The sequence below is a fragment of the Homo sapiens genome, chromosome 22, assembly GCF_000001405.40.
Source record: "Homo sapiens chromosome 22, GRCh38.p14 Primary Assembly".
Classification (NCBI taxonomy): domain Eukaryota; kingdom Metazoa; phylum Chordata; class Mammalia; order Primates; family Hominidae; genus Homo; species Homo sapiens.
In genome coordinates, this window is record NC_000022.11 from 42,891,701 (window position 1) to 42,911,420 (window position 19,720).

At 51.5% G+C, this 19,720-nt stretch overlaps 1 protein-coding gene across 10 annotated transcripts in view, besides 5 other annotated features; it reads right to left on the reverse strand.

Moving 5' to 3' along the window:
- PACSIN2 (protein kinase C and casein kinase substrate in neurons 2) overlaps window positions 1-19,720 on the reverse strand; it is a 145,384-nt gene that overhangs the window by 21,935 nt on the left and 103,729 nt on the right. For all 10 annotated transcript variants that reach the window (NM_001349968.1, NM_001184971.1, NM_001349972.1 and 7 more), the window contains one exon: window positions 1,757-1,913. In NM_001349968.1, coding sequence (NP_001336897.1) covers window positions 1,757-1,913 — 157 coding nt within the window. The remainder of the gene's footprint in view (window positions 1-1,756; window positions 1,914-19,720) is intronic.
- Window positions 1,323-1,422: an enhancer, noted in NCBI's record as "active region_19179". NCBI's record gives its function as "activates an Ori minimal core promoter by ATAC-STARR-seq in GM12878 lymphoblastoid cells {active_cell/tissue: GM12878}" and the evidence as "EXISTENCE:reporter gene assay evidence [ECO:0000049][PMID:35858748]".
- Window positions 5,862-6,638: an enhancer, noted in NCBI's record as "H3K4me1 hESC enhancer chr22:43293568-43294344 (GRCh37/hg19 assembly coordinates)". NCBI's record gives its function as "activates a minimal SCP1, AML or CMV promoter by ChIP-STARR-seq in primed H9 embryonic stem cells {active_cell/tissue: H9 hESC(primed)}" and the evidence as "EXISTENCE:reporter gene assay evidence [ECO:0000049][PMID:30033119]".
- Window positions 6,639-7,413: an enhancer, noted in NCBI's record as "H3K4me1 hESC enhancer chr22:43294345-43295119 (GRCh37/hg19 assembly coordinates)". NCBI's record gives its function as "activates a minimal SCP1, AML or CMV promoter by ChIP-STARR-seq in primed H9 embryonic stem cells {active_cell/tissue: H9 hESC(primed)}" and the evidence as "EXISTENCE:reporter gene assay evidence [ECO:0000049][PMID:30033119]".
- Window positions 12,811-13,331: an enhancer, noted in NCBI's record as "H3K27ac-H3K4me1 hESC enhancer chr22:43300517-43301037 (GRCh37/hg19 assembly coordinates)". NCBI's record gives its function as "activates a minimal SCP1, AML or CMV promoter by ChIP-STARR-seq in primed H9 embryonic stem cells {active_cell/tissue: H9 hESC(primed)}" and the evidence as "EXISTENCE:reporter gene assay evidence [ECO:0000049][PMID:30033119]".
- Window positions 14,226-14,901: an enhancer, noted in NCBI's record as "H3K27ac-H3K4me1 hESC enhancer chr22:43301932-43302607 (GRCh37/hg19 assembly coordinates)". NCBI's record gives its function as "activates a minimal SCP1, AML or CMV promoter by ChIP-STARR-seq in primed H9 embryonic stem cells {active_cell/tissue: H9 hESC(primed)}" and the evidence as "EXISTENCE:reporter gene assay evidence [ECO:0000049][PMID:30033119]".

Genomic DNA, 19,720 nt, shown 5'->3' on the forward strand with positions numbered 1-19,720 from the left:
CGGCCATGCCTTTCCTTTATTTAAAGCCACTGAACTCTATAAAAACTCAAATTTCCACATCTTAGAAGTCTTAATTTACTTAAAGGTGGCCAGAGAAGGGGGGACCTTCTGAAGTGAGCAGATGCTTCTCCCAGGTGTTGGGCACCCACCCACACCATGCCAACGCTTCTCCTGGCATGGCTCCTATCAGCCCTGCTTGGCCCCTGGCTAGCCCTGCACTGCCTTCCTCTGCAGGACTGTGTTCATTCACTCCCAGAAAGAGCCTGGCTCTGAGCACAAGCTTGAGAACACTGTGGAATGAGGACTGTCCCCTCAGCAGAATGGAAGCCCATCCTGCAGGAGGAAGGAGAGGAGGAAGCAGGAGCCTGCTCTGGACCAGTATGGCAGGAGGGGCTGAGTCGCCTCTCCCTACTCACTGTTCTCAGTCCCCGAGGCTCAGGAAGGAAGCCCTAATCCAGGCTGGCATTTCTATTCAGGGGGTAGGGTGGGGTGGCGTGAGGCTGGAGGGAGGGAGAGCCACAACGGAGCCGGGGCAGAAATCGAGAAGATCCATGGCTGGTCTTCAAGGTGGTCACAGGGACAGTGACCAAGTGCGCTGAGTCATGACAGAGGTGGGCTGAGGGGAGGGCAGGCTGTGAGAACCCAGAGGGGGACACGTGACTCTGGGGCTTGGAGACAACAGAGAACAGCCCCGGAAGTTGGACCTCTCTGTGCCTTCGTGTCTACAAAATGAGCACATTCCTGTCCTGTCCACAACGTTACAGCCAGACCCACAAGGTGAGGGTGGTAAGGGTGCTCTGTAAACCTCAAGCTCTGACTGACAGCTTGATCCTGGGAGAGGGGCTGCAGCAGGTGGAAACGAAATGACGACACTGCCACCGACCAAGGGAGCTGACCTATCCTAGGCCCCTCCTCTGCCACGTGCCTGCTCCACAGCCTGGGCACATACCCTGCCCTAAGGACTGTGCTAAGCCCACACAAACAACCCATGTCAGCATCACGGGAAAGGACAGGCAGCTGGACTAGACCTGGCTTGCTTGGGACCTGGCTCCCCTGATTGGCTGAGGACAGCTGGGGCTGAGGACAGCTGGTCAGCACAGGAAAGCCTGCCCCAAAACACACCTTGAGAAACCCACACTGCTCTGCTTCTGTGCCGGAAAGGCTGTAATCAGTCAAGTTCCCCTTCCCTGCTGGGAAGTGTGTTCTAAGCATGGCCCCTGTCCACACAACAGTGGCACTAATAAAGCTACAGAATCTTCTGAGCTTTTCGGTGGGGACAGAAGGGGGTGAAACCTCTGCCATACAACACCTGTAATTATTCCCTTAAAATGTAAACTCAGAAAGACTGCCAGGTGTTGCCAGCTAGTCTTATCTGACCTGCTACATGGCCAAGTTTAAAAATAAACAGCTCTCAGTGTTAGAAACTAAGGTGCCAAGCGGCAAGGCCTTCCACGTGATAGGAACTTACCCGAGTTCTGAGTTAACTCGGCAAGTGCAAGTGTGTCCTATGGATGACAAGGGCTATAGTCCTGTGTCCCCAAGGAAAGTGGACAAAAGCTCATGGAGCCTGTGCCTTCTGGTGATGGGCGCTAATGCTCCCCATAAAAATCACACCCCGCTCTGGAACTGGGAAATGCACTCTTGCCCCAATCTTAAAAGACAGAAAACTGGCATAGAGAGGGTCACAACGTGCCCAGAGCCCCCGGCTGGGGTGTAGCTGCCTCCAGGCCACAGGACCTGTGCCGGGGCCCCATACCTTTCTCCACGAGCTGCCTCCAGCGCCGGGCCCACTCAGTGAGCTGCTGCGCATACGCCTTCTCGATGCGCGCCCGCTCATGCAGGCAGTTCATGAGGTCGCTGCACAGGCGGTGGCCATCGTCGATCCGCTTCACAGTCCGCTTGTAGTTCCCGACCTAGGAGAGAGAACCAGCTGGGAGGCAGGGGGCTTGGGGCAGCCTGTCCTTGGCTGTGGCACAAATGGCCTCCATGCCAACCAGGCCCTGATGCGCCCCTGGGGTCATGTTTACCACACCCCTCTCCAAGAGTTTGAAAGGCACTCCGTGTAGTTAGATAATGAGCCTCTCTATTTTTATTATTAATAAGATCATACACATCAGTGAACGGGGGCTTCTCAATGTTCTTTAGGTTGGGTACCAAGTAGAAACTGGGCTGTGGGTCAGGAAGGGAGGCTGACTGGCTCAGGAAGGGGTGGGGCTGAGGATGCCTAAACGGGCACCTCACGCAGACTGAGGGGCTGGGGCTGGCTTCCTGGAGTAGGTGACATCTAACCAAAGCCTTCTGCTTTGATGTCATCCATCATGTGCTGGGTTATTACTTCCCAATCATAGCTGTAAAAACTTTTCCACTTCCTGAGCACCTACCATGTGCCAGGCGACCTGCTAGGTGTTTTACACCTCCAAATACTGTCTCCCCTACCTAGTAGGAATAAGTGTCCCCATTTTACAGATGAGGAAACAAAGGCTTAGAGAAGTTACGTGGTTTGTCAAGATCCTGCAGCCACAGTGGCTAGGCTGGAGCTGAAGGCAATTGTTTTTTTTTTTGAGACACAGTCTCGCTGTCGTCAGGCTGGAGTGCAGTGGCACGATCTCGGCTCACTGCAACCTCCGCATCCCAGGTTCAAGTGATTCTTCTGCCTCAGCCTCCTCAGTAGCTGGGACTACAGGCACGCATGCCATCACACCCAGCTAGTTTTTGTATTTTTAGTGGAGACAGGGTTTCACCATGTTGGCCAGGATGGTCTCAATCTCCTGACCTTGTGATCCACCCACATCAGCCTCCCAAAGTGCTGGGATTACAGGCGTGAGGCACCGCGCCCAGCCCAAAGGCAGTTTTTCAAAGGGTTCCAAGTAGGACTGTCTTGATGGCAAAGCTTTGTCAGGGCTAAGCTGAGTTTTGACTGCCTTTTTTCGTATATGAAAAGAAAAACTAGTTCATCAAAGTTATAAGTAATAAAAGAGTAACTGAGGAAATGTTAATGGCTAATTTGGGGTGAAAACGAAAATGTTCGATATGTTTCATTCTTTTAGCTGCTGGCTTGAAAGGCTACAGTCGCTGATAACTTGAGCACCCAGAGGAAATATGACAGAAAAACGATCTCTTTTCAGCCTTTTTCTCCCAATGCCTTCAAAAATCTTAGTCAACCCCTTGTCAGTTTTACCTTTTCTAAAATCTCTTTGCCTGGCCCTGCACAGAGATGGGCAAGGGGAGGGAAGGGGGCTGCAGCACCTGGAGGAAGGGCTGTCCCTGAGGCTGAGCTACATGGGCTGAGATGACTCCACTCCTGTGAGAACCAGAATCCTGGTGAAAAGCAAAGACCCCTGGAAGGTGGTTAGCCTGGGCAGCCTTCTCCAGAGGCAGATGAGACTTCCGGCTCTACTCATTCCCTCCAAAGACCTCCCCCAGCAAGGCTGGCAGCTCGGCAGCTCGTCAAAACATGAGCTGAACCTGAGCATCCACTCCAAACTAGAGCAGCTCCTGTGAGGAAGTCGGAAGTGAGCATTTTCACAGCTCACTGGAAGTGACATTATGTGGTTGCTTCCCTTAAAATGAGGCCTTACTGTCATTTTGAAATTTACAGCAGGATGAAAAAAATACCCAACAAGCAACTCAGTATCGTTGAGCTGGTGGTAGGAGGAGCTGAGGTAACACGGCCCTAACTTAGCCTTGACAGTCGACATGAAGCCACAACCCAGAGCTGGTTTTCATCTGCCTATTACCAACAGTATTCAAATTGGTAATCACCATCAAATCATGTATTTTGGCTCTCTTGAAACCTGCTTATCTCTGTGATTTTCAGAACCACTGGTTAAAGGTTTAGGGAAAAGAAAAGGATATTTCTTAACAAGTCACATGTTGGTACCACCCATCGGCACACACAGGAGCTGCAAATACACATTTACATGACAACTCTTGAAATGTGGAAATCCGTGATGAATACAGGAAGAGTGTTTCCGTAAGTACACATTTCAGGTTTCCAAATAAGCTCCCAGTTGGTCCTAGAGGCTGCAGAGGAGCCTGTGCTGGTCCTGTGACCACTGCTGGGGACAAGAGGCAAGTTGGCTGAGCACAGAGCCAACGGGAGAAGGGCAGTATGCCAAACAGTTGGGACCGAGGCACCCCAGCAACATCGGCCCTGCTGTCCCTTTAATGAAACGGTTGTGTGGTGGCCGGTGAAGGCCATCACTGGAAGTCTCTATCGCCATAAACCACCAGGGACAGAGCAATGTGGCCTTTCCACTTCCCTGGGCAAAGCACTGCAGTCGTCCCAGGAGCAGAGCTACTGCTGGCTGCTTCTCTAGGTCGAGATGGAATCTACACACAGGCAAAACTGCCCACTACAGGGTACACTTAGATCTGAATGTGGACAAACATATACCACTGTCTACCACCTCCACAGCAAGGAACAGGACACTTCCATCTCTCATGAAGTGCCTTTGTGCCCCCTTGCAGCCCATCCCCTCCCCATACAGCCCCCAGCAACCACAGACATGATTTTTGCCCCTTTTCCAGGATGGCAAGGATATATGGAATACACAGTATGCAGCCTGGCTTTTGAGACTGGCTTCTGTCACCCACCATAATGTTTCTGAGACTGATCCATGTTGCTATCTACGTCAGAAGGTCACTCTTTCTTACTGCTAAGTAGTATTCGATTGTGTAGTTATGCCACTATCAGAAGTTCACTCTTTCTTACTGCTAAGTAGTATTCGACTGTGTAGGTATACCACTATCAGAAGTTCACTCTTTCTTACTGCTAAGTAGTATTCGATTGGGTAGTTATACCACTCTTTGGTTTATCCATATTCTTCCTGCTGAAGGTTGCTTGGGTCATTTTCAGTTTGGGGGAATTATGAATAAAGAAGCTATAACGTTCATCTATTGGTCTTTTGTGGGGACATAAGCTTCCATGACTCTTCGGTGAATACCTAGGAATGGAAATGTTAACTGTACGTTTAACAAAACTGCCGAACTGCTACCCAAAGTGACTGGACAGCTGTGCACTGCCATCAGCAACGTATGAGACTTCCCTGTCCTGCATGCTCCCAGCACTTAGTATTGCCAGGGTGTTTTGTTCTGTTTTGTTATTTTTAGCCATTCTACTTAGTGTAGCAATATTGCATTGTGATTTTAATTTGCATCTTTCTAAAGTCTAATAATACTGAAAATCTTTTCTTATGACTATTTGCCATCTGTATGCCTTCTTGAGTAAAGTTTGTTCCTTTTTTTTCTTTTTGAGACAGGGTCTTGCTTTGTTGCCCAGGCTAGAGTGCAGTGCCACAATCATGGCTCACTGTGGCCTTAACCTCCCAGGCTCAAGTGATCCTCCCACCTCAGCCTCCAGAGTAGCTGGAACTACAGGTACGCACCACCACACCTGGCTAATTTTTGTATTTTTTGCAGAGACAGGGTTTTGCCGTGTTGCCTAGGCTGGTCTTGAATTCCTGGGCTCAAGCGATCCTCCCACCTTGGCCTCCCAAAGTGTTGGGATTACATGTATAAGCCACAGCGCCTGGCCTGTTCCCTTTTTAATATATTTTTTAAAAAATCAAACGTATAATAATGACTAGTTTTTACAATGCAAGAAAATTAATTTTCAAATATTTGACAAATCGATCATACATTAAAATCAGCACATATATAGTTAACTATTTCTGCTCTATCAGTTTTGTAATTAAAAACCTCTCTTCTACTTCTTCAAAACATTAGGTTGTTTTGGGATAGCCAAATGGCAGAAAACTTTAGGTAGAAACTGAATATAAGCATGCTTTCTTCCAAACATATTAATTGCTTCATTCACAAAATCCTCATTTTTGAACCAGGTATGAAGCTATGTTCCTAACTTCCTCTAAATTCAGGCTCACTCCACTCAGAAACTAAGCTACCAAAGACAAATGCTCAGCATACATGTGCCTGGACATCCCTTCACTCCCCTGAGGGACTGCCTGGCAGACGGAGGGCCAAGCATGTACCTACTGAGGGACTCAGTGCTTGGGCACAGGGCACTGGAACTGGGGCACTAGGAGGAGGGGGTGAGAGGTATCCTGAACGCAATATCCAAAGGGCATCTTCAAGGACAGGTAGGAGGCTGGCCAGATTAAAGGTGAGGCCAGGAAAATAATTCCAGGCACAGGGAACAGCACTGGCAAAAGGAAGGTGTGTCCACATGGCAACCCTGGGGCCCTGAGAGAAGTCAGCTGGGAATGGAACACAGAACACAGGGAGCAAATGGCAATGAGGGAGGGCAGATGCTGAGAAACTGGGAAGGCTAGGCCTGCATCCTGAAGGGTGTCAGGCTTGGGGACTGGTGGGGCTCAGAAGGCTGGCGGGGGTGGGGACATCCTGGAAGGAAGAATTGAGAGCAGCCTCCAGAGAATGGGGCTGCTCAGTGGAACCCAGGGCATGCGAGCCAAAAAAGGGAGCTGCCCATCCTCCAGGTGGAGGATGCGGGGACAAAGGTCGTGGGAATCCCTGGCTCCCAGACAGGTTTCTCTGCATACAGCACCCCTGCCTTCTCCAGGCTGTGCCCACCTTGGGAAAGAGAACCTCCTTCCTTTTCTTTTTTTTTTTTTGAGACAGTTTCGCTCTTGTTGTCCAGGCTGGAGTGCAATGGTGCGATCTCGGCTCACCACAACCTCTGCCTCCTTGGTTCAAGCGATTCTCTTGCCTCAGCCTCACGAGTAGCTGGGATTACAGACATGCGCCACCACGCCCAGCTAATTTTGTATTTTTAGTAGAGACGGGTTTTCTGCATGTTGGTCAGGCTGGTCTCAAACTCCCGAACTCAGGTGATCTGCCCACCTCAGCCTCCCAAAGTGCTGGGATTACAGGCGTGAGCCACTGTGCCCGGCTGAGAACCTCCTTTCTAGGGTCCTCCGGAGGCCGCTCTCCTGCCTCCCAGGGATGGACCTTGGGGGCCACATCCCTCACAATCAAGCTCTGCCTCCAGGGAATCCACTCCCTTCCCCATGCCCTTCCCCGAGCCCAGGACTCGCCCTGCCGCCTGCCCTCCTCCAGGCTGCACTCACTCCCTCTCAGTGAGCCAGGCTTCTAATCGTTCCTCTGAGAACCCAATGTCAGCCAAGCCTCAGTTTTAAAGTCAGCTAGGATGAGGTGGCAGCTGGAATCTCAACCATCCCTGTGCAGAAACATCCGTGCAATCAGGAGCAGAGAAAGGGGCTCTACCTGAAACCCAGCAGCTTATTGTCACAGGCGTGCTGGGGGGACTATCCAAAGAGGCCACGTCAGCTCCTCCTCCATCCTGCATGCATCTGTTGTAAACAGTCCAGAGGTGCCTTTCACAAGGACGCTGGAGAAGGTCTGCTGTGCAGACACAGGACCATGCCAAGCTCTGTGGTGCTCCCAACCCCTAATACCTTCAGACTCTGGGCCCTAAGAGGGTGTGGACCTGTGTCTTCCTAATCCACCACTCTTTCTCCATTGCTTTCCACAGGGTCTACCGCACAGCAGGCACCCCATACAAATGTGAGGTAAAACCATAACATGACCAGAAGAAAATGAACGCGAATACCTTTGTGACTTACGGCATGGCTCCTTAAACAAAATTTTTCTTTTTCTTTTTTTTTGAGACGGAGTCTAGCTCTGTTGCCCAAGCTGAAGCGCAGTGGTGCCATCTCGGCTCACTTGCAACCTCTGCCTCCCGGGTTTAAGCGATTTTCCTGCCTCGGCCTCCCGAGTAGCTGGGATGACAGCAGGCAGAGCACACAGAGACACCTCTGTATGTGGGTGCCCAGAGGGATGTGCCTGAGAACAGCAAGGCAGCTCTACGCCTGTGGACTGGCAACCACCAGAGAGTGGGAAAGGCCAAGTGTGGGCAGAGGTGGGTGTACAGCACCCTTTACTGGATATACTGGTGGAAACAGACTGGGCAGGCCTCTGTGCACAACTAGGCAGTCATTAAATCATAAAGCATGCAAGTGCCCTACGATGACCCAGCAGCTTCATTCTGGGCTTAGATTCCCATAGAAGTGTTCCCTTTGGTCCCAGGACAGGTAGGGGGCCTCTCCCTGGGGAATGCACAGGTAAGCACGGGGCCCAGCAGTGCAGCGGGAGGAAGGATGTGCGCGACTACGCCGACACACTGACCCAGAACAGAAACAGAATGATGTGGGGCATGATGCCATTTACATCAATTAAGAATACGTGCACATGAAGTAGGGGTGCGAAGTTTATGAGAGCAGATGCTAACAAAAGCTGTAACATTAGAAATGGGGAGGGGGCCTAGGTATCAACTGCAGGTGGAGAAATAGAGACAGGAACGGTTATTGATGAGCGAGTCCCCCTCCTACCTGCCCCCATCTCAGCTCTCTGTGAAGTCTTGGCTCCTTTTCCCCACGCAGGCTTCCCTGATGCAGCCCGTCCTTGCTGGAGCACCAGCGTGGAGCACCAACCCAGTCTACACCACCTGCACCCACAGACAGGGGAGACTCATCTGAGGACTCCTGCCATCTGGTCCAGCTGGGGGCCATGATGGCCCTTGTGAACACCGTCCCCATGCCCTTCGGGTCACAGCTCGTCTCAAAATTGCCTCGAGCACATTAGCCTCACTTCCCTAGCTAGACTGTAAGCCTCCCGCCAAAAGGTGCCACACACTGAGTGATTTTCACTAGCGACGGCGTCATAATAGAGCATCCCATACTTGGCCAGGCAGGGTACTGACAGTTTTACATGCCACCCCACTTAATCTTGTGAGAATGCTAGCCAGGGGATACTATTAATGTCTATTTTTAAAAATTAAATTAAATTTTATTATTTTATTTGCGAGAAGGGTCTCACTGTATTGCCCAGGCTGGAGTGCAGTGGCACAATCACAGAGGCGCAACCTTCCCGTCCGAAGTGATCCTCCTGCCTCAGCCTCCGAGTAGCTGGGACCACAGGTATGTACCACTACACCTGGCTAATTTTTTATATTTTTTGTAGAGACAGGTTCTTACTATGTTGCCAGGGCTGATTTCAAACTCCTAGGCTCAAGCAATCCTCCCAACTTGGACTCCCAAAGTGCTGGGATTACAGGCATGAGCCACCGCACCCGACCTAGTGTCCCTATTTTAGAGAAAAGGAAACTGAAGTTTGAAGAGATGCAGTCACTCATGGTCATGCAACAGAAAGAGAGGCCACCTGCCCAAACATCCCTCAGGCCGGGATCAGAGCTGGTGTAAACTGAGACTTACCAAGTCAACATGAGATGATGCGTGTGCTTCCAGCCAGCCCTGTGGGCGCCAGCAAGTCACAAACAGAATTCCAGACTCCATGCAGCACACAGGCCCTGCTCCTGTCCCCACCATATGCCAACAAAGTTCCCAGGAACCCCAAGCCTGTAAACTTCTAGGACCGGTTGCCAAGGATGACCCTGATTTTAACCTCAGGATGATCTTCCCCTTTAATCTGTGGCCCTGAAGGCCCAAGCACCACAACCGCTCCCTCTGCACCCTGGAGAGGAAGGGTCAAGGGTGAGCCAGCTATCCCAAGCTGACCTACAGAAGAGCTCCTGGCGTACCCCTCGCCAGGCAAGCCCATGGAACCAGAGTCAAATGTTTTATCCAAAGCTGACCAAATATGCCAAGAAGCTCTAGCATCTCCTCTGTCAGCCTGGCAGACAAGGATGAGGCAACTCTTTAGGGATTCCTTAATTCCAAGTCTGCAGTTGGCAACGAGACGGGCAAAATGCTTTCGATAACTTGTTCAAATCCATCGGATTTCCCAGCCCTAACAAGACCTCCTTCCCTTCACCTGCTCTCATGAGGGGAGCAGCACAGATCTGGCCCTGCCCCAAAATGTGTAACTTTGTACAAGTCCCTCTCCGTATATTTCTGCCCTTTCAGTTGTCAGGTAGAGTCAGAGCTATTCCTGTGAGGACCAAATGGCCCAGGATAGGAGGGGTTTACACTGCACGGTAGGTTTCTTCCCAGCCAGCTGTGCTCTCCGCCTGCCACGGCGATCGCCTGACAAGGCCTAACTTCTTGCTAAGCCATTTCTTCACCCTGTCTGGGGGTCAGGGTGGGGGGTGAGGTGAGCCTTCAGGATTCCAGGGTGTCTGGTTGAAGACGATGTTGGTGCTTCCTGGCATACCTGACCAGCTCTGGGTCAGACATTCGACTCTGGTTCCATGGGCTTTGCCTGCAGGGGCACCACCAGGGCGTCTTCCTTCCGTGGTTCAGCTCGGACCAGCTGGCTCGCCCCTGGCCCTTCCTCTCCGTGGTGCAGAGGGAGCAGTTTCCAGTCTGCTGATGCCACCAGCTGGCTGGCTCCCCACTGAAGCATTCATCACTCCATTTCTGAGCGTCTGGCAACACTCTCTTGCCACTGAGAGGTATTTAAGGAACATCCACTGTGTGTGAAGGGCCACGAGGCCCTAGGGATATAGTGGTGAACAAACTGCCATGCGACTGTCCCTCATGGAACTTATGGCCAGAAAAATAATGCAATGAGACAGTGACACATTGTGAGAAGGAACACTCTGGGTGGTCAGGGCTGCCTGGAGGAAGCGATGTTTGAGGCGGTAGCTGAAGACAGCTCTGAGGCAAGGCCGCTTTCTCACAGCTGAGGAAAATGCCATGAGGCCCACGGAGAGTGAGCTGGGGGCTCTGCTGCCCCAGGACGCTTCCCCCACAGATTACCCCTCCCCCTGGTGGACATGTGCTGTCACATGCCAAAATGCATCAAAATAGTGGGTTCTGAGGGCAACTACTATGCCTCTATATGTCTCCATCATCCATGCCAGGCAGAAAGAGGACACCCTATCTTCTCAGAGCCCAAACAGTGCTGGGAGCTGGGATTTCCATTCCCCCTGGAAAGGAAGGGACTGAGAAGTCGCTGAGATCTCAGAGGCATGGTCAACCAAACAACTCATGATCCTTTATCTGTCAGTTCTTTTTTTTTTGAGATGGAGTCTCGCTCTGTCTTCCAGGCTGGACAGTGGTGCATCTCAGCAGTGGCATGATCTCGGCTCACCACAACCTCTGCCTCCTGGGTTCAAGCGATTCTCCTGCCTCAGCCTCCCAAGTAGCTGGGATTACAGACATGCACCACCACGCCTGGCTAATTTTTGTATTTTTAGTAGAGACAGGGCTTCGCCATGTTGGCCAGGCTGGTCTTGAACTCCTGACCTCAAGTGATCCACCCACCTCAGCCTCCCAAAGTGTTGGGAATACAGGTGTGAGCCACCGCGCCCGGCCTATTTATCAGTTCTCAATCCTGCGAGTCACACGAGCTCTCTCCATGGTAGCTAAAAGGAATCAACTCTTAGCACGTCATCAGCCAGTAACTTCATGGCCGGCAGAAGAGCAACTCCCGGCGCTTCTGCCGCATTCCTGAGAGAGTCACATAAGCACAGCCAGCTGCAGGGCCTCACCGGGCCTTCACTGCAGCTACAAAGCTTTCAGGGAAATCCAGGGCCTGAGTTAGTTTATCCCTAAGCCAACCCACGTCCCAGGCAGCTAGAGGGGGCTCCAGGACTGAGTCCCTTCTCCTCAGGACTGTGCCCTGCAGAGTCACTACCTCTCACCCACCTTCCCTGGGGAGGGTGTGCGTGTGCCTGGCAGATGTTGTATCCTGTACACACCTGCCAGATGTCCCCATGGTGACAGCTTCAGGCAACTTTCTTCCAACCTATCCTAACCCCTATGCTGAATCTTCCTTTCCAAACGGGGATGACTGTTGATATTAGGGTTGTGAAATCTGTGATGTGTGTTTGAAAACACCAAAGAGTAACAGGGGTCCTTGAAAAACCATCTAGTCCGTGCCTTGCTTTCAGGTGCCAAACTGCAATTTCCACATCCTCATTTCTATGGGATTCCACTCGTCCTGGTCCCCAAACTTCCCACCAGCTCATCCACCACTGGGCTCCCAACTTGTCTCAGCCCTGGAATGTAGGCCCTGGGAGTTCCACACTTCGGTGCTGCCTTGAACCACAAGCTCAGACTAACACCTAACCTCACTGGGGCTCGCCATCTGCAAATGAGGTGATGCTATTTACCTTGCAGGGCCCAAGAGGGTTAGAGATTCAGAATCGCCTTGAGTCTGATCTACAATCCAGACTCGATTCTGACCCAGCACTAGTCCTGTCCTTTCCTCGGGGCCTCAATTCTGTCTCAACTTGGGGTTTTCAGTTCTTGCTCCCAACACTGACTGGCCGTATCCTCTGTTCCTGAAACCTGTATCCTCAAGTACGAAGGTGAAGAAAATGGAGCTCACTACCCTGAAAGCACCCCTTGCCGTTTGATCATTTAAAAGCATGAATCCCAGATTTCAACAATCATAAAGACACACTGAGTTACGAATCTTTAACTGAAATGTTCAAAATGACAAAATAAAAAATAGATGACACAGAAACCCAGAAATTGCAATTTTCAGATCCTAACTCCAAAGGCAGAACACATAAGATAGACAACATAGAAAGAAAGGATGTGTTTACGCAAAGCTGTGTTGAACTAACTCTTCCTCAAGGCCGTCGGCCAGGCTCCCCATGCTCTGCTCCCTTGGTGCGTGTTACACAGATGTCGAGAAGGCCCCGCGACACCCTACATGGCGTTCACATGCACAGCATATGCCGCCCTGTGTGCCATCTCCCATCCTGGAGCCCTGGGTCTCTGGGAAGACATGCACTGCTCACTTGCCTTCAGCCGAGCACCCAGCAAGTGGCAGGAATTTGGTATGTGGCTGCCGTTTTTGCTCTCCCTCACTCCTCAGGGAGGCGCCCCCACTGATGCAGGCATCACCTTGCTGGAAGAGCTGCCATGGCGAGATCACCTGCCCGGTCCCTAAGCTCGCTGAAGACCTGAGGCTTTTGGCAGAATTCCCAAGGCACCCCCTGACTGACAGGGAGTGTGAGAGACATCCAAAACTGGCTCGACCCCTAAGGTCCAAAGCCGATGATCTAGTGGGGAAACGCCAGCTGGGAAAAGCTGGAGGATCAATTCTTCCAGGAAGCCTCCCCACCTCCTTCCGTTCCCTCCTCTTCCCAGTTTGGTGCTTCCACAGCCCCCCCATACTGCACTCCAGTCTACCTCCACCCTGGCCCTAGCCCCCTGCACCCGAATCCTGGTTTACTTTATGACTCCTGTTACCCTACCAGTCCCCACTAGTGGAATGTGGGCTCCTCTCCCCATCTCTGTGCCTGGGCACCCCAGCTCCGCCCCCCTGCACTGTGCCCAGCTCAAACAATCGTTTATCCACAAATGTCTCCATGGAGCTAAGCCCACCACAGTCTAATGAGCACTACGGACCCCACCGGCTCTAAAATGAAAGGAGATTTGTTACTGAATAGAAAGGAAAAATGTGTCTCTTAAACAGTTTTAAAAAGTTATTCTGACATCACTGAGATCAAATAAGAAAATAAAATTTTATCTTCATCTACAGAAATGCACAAAAAAAATTTAAAAAATTTTATCTTCAGAAGACAAGCTTCTTGACAGCACAAAACCCCGAAGTGCTAAATTCCCTCAACGCAAAAACCAAAGAACTCTTTCTCTGCATTCAGAATGATGGCATTCACACGGGGGGAAGACAGGTCTGTCTGCACAACAGAAGGAAAGGTGACCTCATTCATCCACCTTTTCCTGTCTCCGCGTGTGCGATGCTCCCGCGTGTGGCTGCAGAAACGGTAAGTGTAGAGAGGACGCTCAGAGACCACTCGGGCTCGGGAGTCATTTAGACTTGGCCTTGCCATGCAGGTGTCCTGTGACCTCAGACAAAATAAACTCTGGGTGTCAACAGGCTCATTGGTGCCGCTGGCCCAGTGCCCAACTACCAGCAAGTGCTGTCCCTGGCCTGGGCAGCCCATCACAGAACAGCAGCAGGCCATCACTGCTGGCTGAGCCTGACCTGCGACGGTGCACCCCAAATTCTGCTTTCTTTTCCTCCACTGAAAGTGGAATTTGATTTTTCCCAGTATCGGGAATGGCTGAGCACGCAGGCCGAAGACAATGTTGTAGATGTCATACACCAAAGGGCATGAAAGAGCTGAAAACAAAAATGACAGATTCGACGGCCTGCAGCAGCCAGCCAAAATAAACTGCCCGGCTGGCTCCCTGCAGTGCTCCTGGTGGGTGGATGGGTAAAAGGGATTGGTGCTGGCCAGGGCTGGTCCCTGCCCTGTTTGCCCTAAAAGCAGGAAGCCGCCTGTGGGAACCAGGCCAATTCTGCAGCTGCTGGAACACAGCAGGAGAGGCTCCTGTGAGACCTTCAGTCATATCTACCTGACCACCCACCGCCACCCACTCCTTCAAGTATGTAAGTCCCTCCCATGTGCTGTGCATGGCACCAGGCCCTGGCAACACCAGCCAAGCAACACCTGCCAAGCTAGGGGACAGTGGCCATGGACAGGGATGGCAGCAGTGCTGAAAACTGTCCAAGGGAAATGGCAGTCACTTGTGGAACTGTCTTGTGCTGCTGCTGGCCTGTGAGCTCCAAGAGGACAAGGGACTGTCCCTGTCACACTCACCTCTGTGTCCCAGCCCCAAGCTCAGGCCAGGCATGAGCCTGACTGACTGACCAAGGGGGACAAAGGACAGCTTGGTTAAAACCCATCACATCATGAGAAAAACCTCCATTACTGGGTAGAGATTGGGCAGCAAAGGCTGCTTTCTGCTCTAATCTCAACGTCAAAGTCTGTCCAATGTTGACGTCTGTTTTCATAAGCGTCCAAGCATTGCTTAGGTTGTGTATTCTAAACTGTGAAAACCACCCATTTAAAAACACGTAATTCTGAAGAGTCACGAGATTCAGGGTCAGCCAAACATGGCCAAGACAAAGGCAGCCCACACGTCGAGGGCCCTGATCTGCCCCATAGGACGACAAAGTCTATCTGAACCACAATGGAAATGTCCACTATAGCTCAGGGGGAGGGTCACCCACCAAAGAAGGGCAGGATCTTAGGAAAACTATTTTCTCACTGGCTTAGAAGGAATTCACATGAATATAACTCATTCCTGAAAAAGGTAGGTATACAGTGCTCTGAAGAGCAGGCTGCAGCAGCCTGTTCAGAAATCCCAGAACAGCCAAATACCATCAGAAACACAACTCTCCCCAAAATAAGCATAAGAACCTTAAACGAAGATTACGCAATATACACCATGTCTACATTTTGTGTGTAACATCGGGGTAGGAAAAAGAGTTTTTGCCAAAAGAGAAAAAAAGTACCACACACAATTTTAGCCTCTTTGTGGGTGTTCTCTGTAATTCTTACAACCATCCTGGAAGTAGGAAATGAGCAATGCCATGTTACAGCCTAGGAAATGCTGGAGAGCACAGAGGAAGACTGCCCAAGCCCGCCCGGAGCAGTCAGGGAAGGCTCTTCCTTTCCCAGAGCAGCTCCCTAGGAAGGAGATGGAAGTCTGGATGGAGGAAAGAATCCTCCAAGCCACACCAGGCAGGGTCACAGATCTTTGTGGATGGGAGCCTGGGGTGGCTCAGCTTGGCTGGAGCCCAGGGCAGAGCTTCTCAGGAAGAGCCAGGGAGTCCAGCTGGCTGTCAACACATGCTCGTGTCTTGGCCATGCTAAAGAGTATGCTTCTATTTTGAAGGTGATGCAGAAAACTGAAGCTTCCCAGCAGGGCAGGGAGCCATCCAATCTGCTTTTCTAGATGGGCTATCTGGCAGTGGGGTGGAGACTGAGGAGTTGATGCCTTAATCCTTGCTCATGGTTCAGCAGATACTAGTTCAGTGAAAAGAAATAATTAATGGTAATTTTTAGAAACTTTAGTGAAACTAATGTGGGCCACTAACCTTCTAGGAGCCATATGTGAGCACGGTGGGGTGATAATTAAGCTGATGCGCACCCTGTCCCGAGGAGCCCATGGATGTGGGCACAGTGCTCCTGCAAGGCTGACACAGGCAGGCCATCACACGGAAAAGTCCGTTGGGGTCGGCGTGCGTGGAGGCGGCTGGGCAGCAGACAGAGCCAGTCACTGCTGCTGAGCATGAGGTGGTATTGACATTCGCTCGCTTCGTGCTTGCGCTCAGGGCACTGCTCTGCCGCCTCCTAACTGCTCTCCATACAACGCTGGCTCTAGGAGGCCCGAGGCTGGGCTCTCATATGGGGTGCCCAGGACTTAGCCCAGGGCCCGGGTCATGGCAGCTTCTAAATATGTGTCCTATAGAATTGGTATGGAAGGATGGGGAAAGTATCACTCCACATGGATGATGAATATGAAGGTGTTCTCACGTGATGAGCTGTCCTGCAGTGCTAGAGTCTGAGAGAAACCAGCCCGACTCAGAGCAAGTTGCAACAACCTACAGGGAGCGCCTTCCTGGCAGGGAACGGTAAATGTTGAGAGTCACGTGCCAACTCTTCAGGGCTAACATTCCCAGAATATTTGACACAAGATACTTATGTTCTCTTCATCTCCCCAAATACTCTTCTCAGGGGCTCTTTGTACCCACAAGATAGTGCACAGAGGTCAGACTCAGCCTGGGTTCATCCAGAAGATCTGAGCTCTAAATGCACAGACAGCTGACAGCTGTGCAGAAATCCCGCCTCCGGGGAGCTTTTGTTGAGGCAGACTCAGGCTCCAGTTCCTAAAATAAGTGGCGTCTGCCCTCCTAGCCTGGCCCCCAAGGAGCCTTCAGAGATGCAGGCAGCGGCTCTCAGCCCTGCTAGGGACAGACCTGCCATCCTGTTCCCAGAGCCTACTGAATGAAGGTAAGGGAGGCCAGGAAGCACTGGTGACACGTGAAAAGCCCCAAGGCTCACAGCCCAGGCCCTTTGGACACCAGCTCCCAGAACCAAAGAGAAGGCCTGGAAGCAGTGCCCAGAAGTGGAAAGGCAGGAGGAGGGCCCCTGGGCTCCTGCAACAAGTCAGGAAAACTTGCCAGAAGTAGCCAAGCTGCCCCATGCCCTGCCGTGAAGCCTGTGGGCGGGCCAGACCAGGCTCTGACTTGCTGAGGGAGCGACCCACCTGGGGAACTGCCTCCACTTGGCCCCCGCCACTGTAATCCCACACGACTTCCCATTTTGCTCCAAAACTGGCCCTTAGCTCCAAAAAGGTCAAGGTCCTCAGCACTCTGTAAGACCACACTCATTCAGGCTCCAGACTTGGTTCCAACCTGGAATGCCATCCCTTCTACTTGTTCCCAATTCTTGGCCCAACCCTACTCAGCCACAGGCCTCCTCTGCTGACTCTGCCCAGCAGACCATGTTACTGAGAGGCAGAGCTGGGGGTGGTCCCTCCTGCTCTCATACTCCATAAGCATCTTCTTTGTGGGAACTGGATCCCCTCTCCCCTCTTCCTCTTTTTATTTTTCCCCTATATCTACAGGGTTGGGGGAATGCAGGAGGTACTCCTTCCGAATATGCATTAAATAGCTCTATTCAGTATCATGTCCCTGTGGGTAACCTCTCCTCCCACAGGTCAGTATGGGTTCCTTCATTCGTCCAGCAAGCATCCAAGTGCAGCAACGTCCACTACCCCATGCTGCCTTTCCTGCCCTTCCCCCTGGGCAAACCTAGCAAATCCTACGGCACCTGGCATGATGACCTGCCTAGTGTCTACCTTATTCCTCCAAATGTCACAGCCAAAGGCTCCTGGAGGACAGGGCCACACAGAAGATGGCTCTGGAATGACATATTCCAGTTAGTATCTTTTGGTGGGAAGGAGTAAAATTAAACACAAAAAACTTTTCCACCTCAAGACCACAAGGCTTTCTTTGGAAAAGTGTCCTTCCATGGGAAAGAGGAACTTGCTACCTGCCTGGGAAGATGTGCAGTTGGCAGTGTGCACCTGAGTCTCTCAGATCCCAGCAGGCCATCACTGAGCAGTCACTCCGCCACTCAACGAACATCCGTCATGGAGAAGGCGGACGACCACAGCACTGCGGAGTTGATACCAGCTGGAGAGTAATTTCAGGGACAGCATCACAAGCTGAGCAGAGCCCGCCTGAGCATTTTCAGGCAAAAGGAGATGTTCTTGTCTACTGACATTATTGCAGTTGAGAATTTAACAGGGAGCATAAGAGCTTAATTACTGGACTTGTTAAAGCTAGTTGATTTAATATATGCTGACAATATACACTGGCAACGTTCACCTGAATGTTTTTTAACAAGCAGCTGAAGAATTCTGTAATAGCACTATATTTAGCTACATAATTTTCCCAGCAGTTTCTGCCACCAAGTGGGTAATGAAGACAATGTCGCCAAGGGCACCGCAGGAACAGACATTGACTGTGCACACCGACTCCCTCAGCTCCCGTGTCAGAGGGAAGGGCCCCCACCAGCCTTGCCCTGATGCCCTAAAACACTTAACGTTTATTCATTCTTTTAACCCTCACAATACTAGGATATGGGTACCGTTATTACCCCCATCTTATAGATTGGGAAATGAAGGCAAAGAAAAATCAGTAACTTGCCCAAAGCCATACACAGAAGTAAGTGATCAGGTCAGCAGTCAAACCCAGACCTCCTGGCTCCAAAGCAATGTCTTCACCTGTCCCCATTGCCTCTCCTGGCCTATCCCTCACAAGGAAGGGCCTTTTGAGTGTGCTTGTCCTGTCTGCACCACCACCAAGCTCAAGGCAGGGAATGATTGGTGCCAGCCAGCAATGTCACTACAGTTACAAAAAAGAGGCTCCCCATAACTGGAAAGGTTTCTATCTATAGTTTTGGTTCAGTGTTGAGAACAAGGGCCTGCACTTCTAAAGGCTGGAGAGCTCACAGGAAGGCTCTCACAGCTGCTGCCAGCTCCATAAGCGCTCCTGCACTAATGAGGCCACAGCCTCTCTGGGGGGGCCAGCCAGCGGGACCTGATTACTGTGAACCTGTACCTGCAAGCGGGGGCAAAGGCAGTCCTGAATTCTAGCACTATTCCAGGGGCACCTCCAAACCACGTCGTGTAACTGCTGGTCCTGCTTCATCTAGTTTCACGGCCAACCTCCTGCCATGCTGTGAGATGTGGCTGGCGACCTGTTTGGCTGTCACTGCTCCTGTCACTCTTGCTGTCTTAAGTGAAATATTTCTCAGGCAGATGTGCCTCTCCGGCTGCTGAAATTTGAGCTGGGTGCCCCCCTCACCCCTCCAGAAGGATGCCACCAGCCGAGGGGTGGCAGCAGAGAGGACCTGCATGCTCTGTGCCTTTCCACATTTATTTCTGCTGTGGCAGAAGCCAGCTTCTGGAGGGCAGGAACTCAGTCTGTCACATCCCTTGCCTAGCACACTACAGGTACTCAGTTAACACATAATTTTTTTTTTTTTGAGACGGAGTCTTGCTCTGTCACCCAGGCTGGAGTGCAGTGGCGCTGTCTCGGCTCACTGCAAGCTCCGCCTCCCGGGTTCATGCCATTCTCCTGCCTCAGCCTCCCAAATAGCTGGGGTTACAGGTGCCCACCACCACGCCCAGCTAATTTTTTGTATTTTTAGTAGAGATGGGGTTTCACCATGTTGGCCAGGCTGGTCTTGAACTCCTGACCTCAAGATCCACCCGCCTCGGCCTCCCAAAGTGCTGGGGTTACAGACATGAGCCACTGCGCCCGGCCATGCAAAGCCTCTTTCCATGAAGGCCAAGAAAGCTCCAGGGGTTTTGCCACAGGGACAAAATTAGACCAAAAATTGACTTCCTATAGTCTCAGCTACTCAGTAGGCTGAGGTGGGAGGATGGCTTGAGCCCAGGAGATCAAGGCTTCAGTGAGCCATGATGGTGCCACTGAACTCCAGCCTGCGCTCTCGAGACCTCAACTGTTAAAAAAAAAAAAA